General features: G+C 42.5%; 1 pseudogene; it reads right to left on the bottom strand.

Moving 5' to 3' along the window:
- ATP5F1EP2 (ATP synthase F1 subunit epsilon pseudogene 2) lies at window positions 2,970-3,337 on the bottom strand (annotated as a pseudogene).

The following is an 11,005-nucleotide window of genomic DNA, read 5'->3' as shown; positions in this document are numbered from 1 at the left end:
GTCTCAAAAAACAAACAAACAAACTATATATATATATATATATATATATATATATATATATATATATATAGGGAGAGAGAGAGAGAGAGAGAGAGAGAGAGAGAGAGAGAGAGAGAGAAACAGAAGAGATTCCCTGCAGCCTGTCTCATCTTATGCACACACACACACACACACACACACACACACAGAGACAGACATGCACACACACACTACATGAGAAAGCAATGTGAAGAAGGAACAGAGAGAAATTTGTAGATATTGGCTTCGACACAAGTCAATGTCAGCAACCACTAGAAGCTGGAAGAAGCAAGGAAGGGGTATTCCCTAACAGTCTCAAGGGGGGTGTGGCCCGGCTAACACCTTGATTTTGGCCCAGTGATAACAATTTTGGACTTCTGGCCTCCAGAACTGTAAGAGAATAAACTTCTGTTGTGTTAAACCACCAAGTTTGTGATAATTTGTTACAGCAGCCACAGGAAACTAATATAGCAGTATTCCTGTTATTACTGTCAAACAACAAACAACTTCAAACTTAATGTCACACAACAACCATCTCATTATGTTCATGGATTCTGTGCGACAAGAATTCAGATAGGGTATGTAAGAATGACTTGTCTCCATGCTACAGCGTCTGGAGCCTCAGTTAGGAAGAATTGAATGGCTGGGGCTGAAATCACCTAGAGGGTTCTTTACTGGTATCTGGGCTAAAACAAAGTTGAAATTTGAGCTTACTTTGGGTTGTTAACCAGAGTTCCTCCTCATTTGGCTTGGGCTTCCATAGGGTTGTGGCTTCTAACATTAGTGGTTCAGCGCTCCGAGAGTCAGTGTTCCCTGTAGGCAGGATGGAAGCTATATGTACTATTCTGACCTAGCTTCAGAAATCACATGGTGTCACTTCCACCACCACTTTCGGTTGGTTGAAGAAGTGACAGGCCCTCCCAGGTTTGAGAGGGGGAGACATAAAGCCACCACTCCATGGGAGGAATATAAAAAAATTTGCAGCTGTGTTTCAAACTTCCAGTTTGCCGCATGTGCACAAATTATTTACGTTCTTCCACATCCAAGCTCTTTCCTCCCAAAGTTTCATCTCATTAAAGCACCGGGCTTATGCTCAAGGTACAGGGTCTCATGATATAAATCAGGTCCAGGTGCAGATTAGGCTCCTTCAGTTAAGTTGCTTGAATATGGTCCTCTTGATCTGAAAACGTATGAAATAAGGTTTTCTGCCACTCTTCCCCCAAATAAGCCCAACACAAAGTGATATAGGTATAGGATAATGTGTATAAATACCCTTGTTCTAAAGTGTGGAAAATGGAAACAAGTAACAATCATTGGTTTATGTTAATTCTGAAACCTATCTGAGCATATGTTGCCCATGTATTGGTTAGGGCCCAGTCCTGCTTGTTGCAAAGTACTCTCCGGAAATTTTTCCTCTGCTTTGTAGGTCTTTATTCCCATTTTCTGAGTTATCCTTTCTTCTCCATAAAAAGTAGCCTGTGTCTGGCTGGGCACGGTGGCTTCCACCTGTAATCCCAGAACTTTGGGAGGCCGAGGCAGGTGGATCATGAGGTCAGGATTTCAAGGCCAGCCTGGCCAAGATGGTGAAACCCCATCTCTACTAAAAATACAAAAATTAGCCGGGCATGGTGGCGGGTGCCTGTAATCCCAGCTACTCAGGAGGCTGAGGCAGAGAATTGCTTGAACCTGGGAGACGGACATTGCAGTGAGCCGAGATTGTGCCACTGCACTCCAGCCTGGGTGACACAGCAAGACTCCATCTCAAAACAAACAAACAAACAAACAAACAAACAAACAAACAAAAAGTAGCCTGCGCAGTTTCAGCCTGCTTTCTGACTAGAAGTCTGGGGAGCCTTATTTTATTTTGTACTATCTGTTCCTTTTGAACAAAGCTAATATAATTCCTTTAACATCTTTGTGGGTTTCTTATGTATCAGTTTATAAACTCCATGCCATTAGATAAGGCTACACCCACAAATCTCTTTGTGATAAGCTCTTCTCTACCTTGAGCTCCCCATGAAGCTGTAGTGCAACAATGCCTGCAAGATTTTCAGAAGCCCTACTGTTAGACAGAGGCTGTTTGAAAGGCTTCCGTAGAATCCTTAGGAGGCCTTTTGTCTACTTGAAAGAGTCTACAAAGGACCACCTTATACCTTTCTTAGATCTCAACAAGGAGCTTTAAAGTCATATGTTTGTCTTCATTTTTATTATGAGAACACATTTTCTTGACTGTATCCTAGATTTGATCTTCCCTAGAGGTCTTTTCTTGCCTTGAGAATCTCCTGCTGGATAAATTCAGCTGAAAGCCCTCTATGTGTCCTCTTAATTTGACGTGAAAGCTGATCATCATATTTTTTTATTTCATCTTCATCATTTCAGATTTTACACAGGCAGCTATAAGAAGCTGGTGGCACCTTTAGTATCCTGCCCAGAAATCTCCTTGGCTGGACTACTTGAGCTTATTAAGTACGCTTCCGGTTTTCCGTATTATCTCAGATGACAGTGTTGCCAAATTTTCTGCCAATATATAATAAACATTTTATTTTCTCCAGCTTCAAATACTATTTTTTCTCACTTTATTCAAATACTCACCATCAGCTTACCCCAATGCCTATCTGGCTTCTTCCTGCCACTCAGTCCTCAAACTACATGTTTTAGTATTGGCTAATTAAATATGGTAGTCATGTTTTAGGTGTTTAAGGTGTTTAAGCAGTACCTTATTTCCAGGCACCAAACTCTGTTCCTACTATCCATTATTATTTAACAAACCACCTCAAATCACAACTATTTTAATACCTTCATGGCTTAAAATGACAAGGTTTATTCTCTTACAGTTCTGGAGGCCAGGAGTCTAAAATCAAGGTGTTGGCAGGGCTGGTTCCTTCTGGAGGTTTCTGGGAGAGAATCCATTTCCTTGCCTTGCACTTTCCAACCTTTTTTTTTTTTTTTTTTAACAGTGAACCATATTTCAATTTATTGACATTGTCAATTTATGAACAAGACAGGATTTTTTTTTCCCATGAAATGAGATCCTTTTCAATCTGCCATAACATGTGCCCATACATCTTCACCTTGGAAATGCAGCATTTCAAGCTTTAGTCAGGGTAGATTATTCCTTCTTTACTTTCACAATTTTTACGCTGTTGCCAGAAGTCTTTTTGGCATTTGCTTTGAATTCTGTCTTCAGTGCATCTCTCACTACTTTTGCACAGATCTGGGAGTATCGGATGTAGCTGAGTCCAGCCTGTCTCCAGTAGGCCACCATGCTGTAGCGAAAGCGGAGCGCGTCGGGCCAAATCGCCAAGACTCTGGCAATGTCCTTTTTTTTCTTTTTTTTTAGACGGAGTTTTACTCTTGTTGCCCAGGCTGAAGTGCAGTGATGTGATCTTGGCTCACTGCACCCTCCACCTCCCGGGTTCAAGCAATTCTCTTGCCTCAGTCTCCCAAGTAGCTGGGATTACAGACATGTGCCACCACACCCAGATAATTTTTTTTGTATTTTTAGAAGAGACAGGGTTTCACCATGTTGGCCTGGCTAGTCTTGAACTTCTGACCTCAGGTGATCCACCCACCTCGGCCTCCCAAAGTGCTGGGATTATAGGGGTGAGCCACCACGCCCGGCCACCCTTTCCAACTTCTAAAGGCTGCCTGCACACCCTGGCTCATGGCCTTCCCTCCCATCCATCACCGCAGTCTCTTGCTCCCATCGTCATCACATAGCCACATTCTGGGGTCAAATCTCCCTGTGTCATTTTAAGCCACGGCATTTGTGGTAATTTGACAGCAGCAATTCAAAAGGAACACAGGGATTAGGTGTGGGTGCCTTCTCTGTGCTCTTTCTTGCTTCTGCATCTCTGCCCCAGGTGTTCTCTGGGCCTGGAACTCCCTCTCCCAGCCACCTTCCTCCAGGCTGCCTACTGTACGAGAAACTCTGCTAAGACTCACTGAATCCTTCAGGCTTGATTTTTCTTTCCTCTGCGTTCCTTGAGAGGAATAAACCTGTGTTATATCACTTGTCTTGCTGTGTTATAATTTATCTTTTCTACCTGTCTAATTTTTACTTTTGATGAGAGACTTCTTGGGGGCTGGGATCCTATATTTTGCCTCTTTCTATCCCCCACCAAGCATGAGCACAGTGCTTGGTAAATAATAAGCAGCTCACACAAGTTAATGGAGTGAAAGCAAACAGAAAACCACAATAAGCAGTCACACCATATAAAGAATCCCTTAACAACGGTCACTTGCTCTGCAGTACCTGGTATTCCTCAGCCTGGTTCTGATGGTGTCCACACTCCACGCCCCAGGAAAACTCCCACTCCTTTCCCAGTCAGTCTGACCTTGAACGGTGAGGTCTGAGGGCCTGAAGGATCTGAAGTCAGACAGCCTTCCCAAGCCCTGTGCAGTTTGACCTCATGCCTTTATTTCTGGTTGCTGAGTCTCTATAGGTCAGCCAATGATTAATGAGGTGAAGAAGGGTTCACAGACTTCTAAGAGCCAGACCTACGTGTCACTTGATACACTTGTTGCACTTTCTGCAGAAAAAGTGTCAACAATGTAGTCGATGTTCTTTTAAATAATGGTTATTTTTCTCAATATAAATATTCAAATAATAAAAAAAATCATCTGTAATCCCTCTACTCAAAGTTAATCATTGGTAATATTTACAAAGTTTGCTTTTTATTTATTTATTTATTTTTGAGACGGAGTCTCACTCTGTCGCCCAGGCTGGAGTGCAGTAGCGCGATCTTTGCTCACTGCAAGCTCCGCCTCCCAGGTTCACGCCATTCTCCTGTCTCAGCCTCCCGAGTAGCTGGGACTATAGGTGCCCACCACCGTGCACGGCTAATTTTTTGTATTTTTTAGTAGAGACGGGGTTTCACCGTGTTTGCCTGGATGGTCTCGATCTCCTGACCTCGTGATCCACCCGCCTCGGCCTCCCAAAGTGCTGGGATTACAGGCGTGAGCCACCACGCCAGGCCACAAAGTTTATTTTTAATTTTAAAATCAATACATTCCCATTGTGAAAAATACAAACAATGCAGCACATAAAGTAAAATAAAAGGAACAGCCAGTCGGACTCCCCAGAGTTCACTACTACTATTAATGCTTGGTTGTAGCTTTGTCTAGTCTTTTTTTTTTTTTAAACTATAAGCAACTGTTTGAAAAAGCACCAAATCTCAACAATAGGAATGGAAACAAATAAAAAACATTCCACTAACCCTAGCAAGATCAACTAATTTCTTTTTTAAAAAAATCCTAGTGTTTGGTTTATGAGTGGCTAAATGGATTGTGTGGGAGATATGCTTAGCAAGGGGAACACACCCTATAATTACACAAATCCTGTCATAGATTTAGTACAGAGCAGACAGGGATAACTGTAGTGATGAGGACTCAGCACTTTATCAGCATTGTTTGGTTATTTACATAATGCCTGTATTTTGTAAATGGCAAAACTAATACAGCTGAAAATGAGATTGTGACAGCCTTTACAAGTTAATTGCTGGCCTAAGTAAAGAACACTGGACTCTCGAGTTCCTATTTCTGGTCTCTATTCCACTTTTTCTCATCACTGAGGATTGAGAGCTATGTGGTGCTTTAAGTAATAGCTGGGAAAATAAATAGTATGTGTGAATAGCAAGGGGAAGCCATAGAATTTACCTGTCAAGATGGCCTTAGTTGTGTCTATTCTCAAGCGTGTAGACTGTGTCTGAGTTCTTTTCTTTACATATGCTTTAGGAATGCTTTCTTGACTCAGCTACAGGGCTGACCTTGGAAAAGCAGCCTTATTATTTCCTGGAGAAACAACTTACATTTGCAAAACATGTTGAAAAGGTTAACATCTGAGATGGATTCTGTATTTGCCTATTTACTTTCATGAGAGAGTGAAAGACAAGGGCTCCACAGATAACACTGAGAATCTTACAAAATTCATACTTGTATCCCACTGCTCTCACAACTCAGCTCTACCCCTGGATTTTGCTTTTTGGAAATACCATTTATTCACCTTTGTCTTCCTAGCATCTAGGATAGGAGGGGACTATAATTGCATGCTACACTACCTGATGGATAACAAATTAATTTGTACATTCATCAATTCATTCAACAGGCCTATCAGACTTCCTACTTATCAGAGCTTGTGTTAGGGCTAGGGATTCAGAAATGCACTACATGCTGTTAATCGGCCCTTATCATCCATTTCTCACTCCATCTATATTCTCCCCTGTATAGAATTAACTGGAATGCTGAAAGCTATAGTTTCTGGAAGGTTTCTTTCTTTCTTTTCTTTTTTTGAGACAAGTTCTTCCTATGTTGCCCAGGCTGAAGTGTAGTGGTGTGATCATAGCTCACTATGGCCTCAAACTCCTGGATTCCAGTTATCCTCCTGCCTCAACCTCCTGAGTAGCTGGAACTACTGGTGTATGCTGCCAAGCCTGGCTTTTCCAGACCTTTTAGCACAAGACTTCTAGGTGCAATGAAGGTTCTGTCAATTAGATGAATTCATGAAATATCTGGAGGACAGAAAGAAGACAGAAGTCATTGTTCTTGTCATAGTGGCTGGCTGGTTCTGGCAGATGTATTTGCATGGCCAAATCCACATTCCACTGTCCGGACATCATTTTCTTGGATATAGGGCAGAGCTGTGGTAGTAGCAGCAGTTTTTAGACCTATGCATTACAACCATGGTGATATGACCTTGAAGCCAAAAGCCTCGTGCTGTGCCTTTCAATAATCTTGTGAATACCTAATCTCCTTTTGCTTGAAATGCCTTGAGTGGTTTCTGTTTTCTTTACTGAACTTTTTCTGATAAAATAAATAAAGATGCAATCACCACCCTTTAGAAACTTGCCATCTCTTAGGGGAGACAGACAATGCAACTTGAGTAAGAATATGATAGAGGTACAAAGGGACAAGGTGTTATGGGATTAAAGAGTAAGAACATAGAACAGGGAAGGGGCATTTCAATTATCTGTTACTGCATAGCAAACCACCTCCAAAACTTAGGGGTTAATTATCTCTCACATTTTGTAGATTAACTGGGTTCAGCTGGGCAGTTCCTTTGCTGGCTTCATATAATTGCAGTCAGATGATGGCTAGAGCTGGGATGAGATGCTGGGATGAGATGCTGGGATGCCTGGGCCTCTCTTCTCAGGTGTTCTCAGGGTTTCTTTTCTCCATGCAGTATCTTCCTGTGAGGACATCGTGATATAGTCTCTCCAGCGAGGCAGCTGGGTTTTTTTATTATTTTAACGTGGTGGTCCAGGATTCCCAAAGCACAAATGTGGAAGATATGAGGCCTTCTTTGATTTTAGGCTCAGGCTGGGCATAGTGACTCATGCCTGTAATGCCAGCACTTTGAAAGGCCAAGGCAGGTGGATTGCTTGAGCTCAGGAGTTTGAGACCAGTCTAGGCAACATAGTGAGAACCTGTCTCAACAAAAAAAGAAAAAAAAAAATTAGCTGGGCATGTTGGTGTGTGCCTGTGTTCCCAGCTACTTGGGAGGCTGACATAGGAGGATCACTTGAGCCAGGGAGGTCAAGGCTTCAGCGAACTGTGATTGCACCGCTGCACTCTAGCCTGGGCAACAGAATGAGACCTTGTGTCAAAAAAAGAAAAAAAAGATGTTAGGCCCGGAAGGGGCACAGCATCAGTTTTGCTGCAGTTTACTGGTTAAAGTGAGTCACAGGCTCAGCCCAGATTCATTGTGGGAGGGGAGGACATAAAGGTGTGGAAACCAAAAGGCACAATTTATTGGGGGCCATCTTAGAAGGTAGACACCACAGAGGGGTACTTGGGATGTTTGGGAAGTTTCACAGAGAACATGAAACTCATTGGTTCCATGGTTGTGTGCTCACAGACTTTACAGAGGACCCAGAGCCCAGTCCAGATCCTAGTACAGTTACTCAGTACATTTTATTATTATTATTTTTTTGTTACATAGATGAGAGGTTTCTATGTTGCCCAGGCTGGCCTGGAACGCCTAGCCTCGCCTCCTTATGCACCAGGACAACAGGCCTGAGCCACTGCGGCTCTCCACTCAGTACATTTTAAGAGAAGGCAAGACAGAAGAAAAAAAAGGCAGGCAGGCAAACATAGGAAGTATAAGCTGGTAGGCCCTTCCAGTCAGAGGCACTAAGGCAGGGGTGTCCAATCTTTTGACTTCCCTGGGCCCCATTGGAAGAAGAATAATTGTCCTGGGCCACACATAAAACACACTAACACTAATGAAGCTGATGAATTAAAAAAGAAAATTGCAAAAAAATCTCATAATGTTATAAGAAAGTTACGAATTTGTATTGGGCCACATCCAAAGCTGTCCTGGGCCACATGTGGCCACGGCCAGGGATTGGACAAGCTTGTACTAAGGCATCAGGGAGTGATTGCAAAATGCAGCTACCAGCCCCCAGGGCTGAGGCAACAAAATAAAGAGGTTGTAAATATGAAAATGTAGAAGCTTGAAGGAGGGGCTCCACAGAGCTGGGACTCACACCGCTGAGAAGGGGTTGCTGGCCAACTGGTGTTGATATCTTTGAGGTGGTGCCGATTCGGAAGAAACTGCAAACCAGAATAAACTGCTGCTAATGGAATAAATTGCCACTACCGGGAGAAACACGGCCTGGCTCGCAACTGAAGCGAACTGGAAGCAGAAAGGAAGAAGCAAGTTCTTCCACTGGCCTTGCACCTTGAAGCCTCCCTCCTGGCCCGTGCTGAGTAGCAGAGCCTGACCAATAGCCCGTTGCCAAAGGAGAATGTCATTTTCAGCGCCTCAGCCCACTTCCAGCATCACAAAGAGTGGAAGACTGACTCTGAGGCTGAGATTAAGAGTTTAACAATTAGGTTGGGCGCGGTGGCTCATGCCTGTAATCCAGCACTTTGGGAGGCCGAGGCGGGCAGATCACGAGGTCAGAAGATTGAGACCATCCTGGCTAACACGGTGAAACCCCATCTCTACTGAAAATACAGAAAATTAGCCTGGCGCAGTGGCGTGTGCCTGTAGTCCCAACTATTCGGGAGGCTGAGGCAGGAGAATCGCTTGAACCCGGGAGGCAGAGGCTGCAGTGAGCTGAGATTGCACCACTGCACTCCGGCCTAGGCGACAGTGAGATTCTGTCTCAAAAAAAAAAATAAATAAATAAATAAATAAAAGTTTAACAATTATATCTTGTTTGAAAAGCATTTAACATGAGTTTTACCCTGGCCCTCAGTCTCTCTCTCTCCTAGCTCAACTTTCTCTCTCCAAAATAGATGTGAGTTGGTTTCTAATAAAAGCACATGATGAATAGAGCGCTAAAAACAAAACAAAAAACCAAATGTTTAACACAGATAAAATGAAGATCACACCATTCCAAGCAGTGTTTTTAAAGCAGTGTTTTCAAAACTTTCTAACAAAGTTACAAAGTCAAAATATATTTTGTATTTTGATCTGTTAGGCATATGCATGTATAACTAAAAAAAGTTACATGAAGCAATCTTTATCCTCGCTGTGCATAATGCACTCTGATATTTTCTATTATATTTTATCTAACTTAAAAAAATCTGGTAATAACCCACTAAGTTGACTTCATTGACTAATCAGTTGCAACCTACTGTTCGAAAAACACTGACTTAGAGGAAGGGAAGATCCAATGTTTTATACATTTCATATAAATGTATAAATGTTATATGTTTTAATTCTATAAATACATGTATAGGGCTCTTTTTCATCTCAAAAAGTATCTTTCACATACCTTATTTAACCCTCATAACAGTCCTATGAGGTTGATATTTCTCCCAATTGACTAATAAGAAAAATAGACTGTCAAAGACACTAAGTCATTTGCCCTAGTTCAGAAGGGGCATAAATGGTCAATGCAGAACTGGAAGCCAATGTTTCTGATTGAAAATCTCGGCCTTCCTCAATAGCCTATGCTAGGATGAGACACATAGTTGAGTGTTAATTGAATACTAACTTTAGTTCAGAGTTGTCTGATAGAAAAGGCTAACACTGGATGTTGTATCATGTACATCGTTTGATGAAAGCACACAAGTTTGTCTGAACAAACTTCCTTCTAGAATTAAATTCCAGGACATGGGCTTCATATATGGCTGTTGTATAATAATGAGTATTGTTTTCATCTGTGGCTTTTCAGAAAACACCAGATTATTATAACAATTTTTTTTTTCTTTTAAGATGGAGTCCTGCTCTGTCACCCAGGCTGGAGTGTAATGGCGTGATCTCGGCTCATCGTAACCTCTGCCTTCTGGGTTCAAGTGATTCTCCCGCCTCAGCCTCCCAAGTAGTTGGGATTACAGGCATGTGCCACCACGCCCGGCTAATTTTGTATTTTTAGTAGAGATGGGGGTTCACCATGTTGGCCAGGCTGGCCTCGAATTTCTGACCTCAAGTGATCTGCCTGCTTTGGCCTCCCAAAGTGCTGGGATTACAGGCGTGAGCCGCCACGCCCTGCCTATTAGGACAATTTTTTATATAGATCCTTGGTAACTGTCATGGAGGCTGCTAGTTGTCCCCAGTATCCACTGGACACTTCCCTTTTTAGTGATGTACTTCCTCCCATTTTTCATTAGACAACTGGTTGTCCAGAATAAAGGCTACATTTTCCCACCTGCTGTGTAGCTAGATGCTTTCATGCAGCTAAGTTCTGTGAATGAGGTGTAAGCAGGCATCGTGTAACTCCAAAAGTGTCATTCAAGTAAAGGAAACTATATTCATTTTCAATTGCTGCAATTACGAATCACCACAAATGCAGCAGCTAAACACAACATGAAATTTATTTTTTTCGTTTTTATTTTATTATTATACTTTAAGTTCTAGGGTACATGTGCACAATATGCAGGTTTGTTACATAGGTATACATGTGCCATGTTGGTTTGCTGCACCCGTCAACTTGTCATTTACATTAGATACTTCTCCTAATGCTGTCCCTCCCCCAGCCCCCCCACCCCCCTACAGGCCCCAGTATGTGATGTTCCCCACACTGTGTCCAAGTGT

The sequence above is a fragment of the Homo sapiens genome, chromosome 13 (assembly GCF_000001405.40).
Source record: "Homo sapiens chromosome 13, GRCh38.p14 Primary Assembly".
NCBI classification, from domain to species: domain Eukaryota; kingdom Metazoa; phylum Chordata; class Mammalia; order Primates; family Hominidae; genus Homo; species Homo sapiens.
The sequence above is the reverse complement of the archived record's forward strand: the minus strand, read 5'-3'. Positions and strand labels throughout refer to the sequence as shown.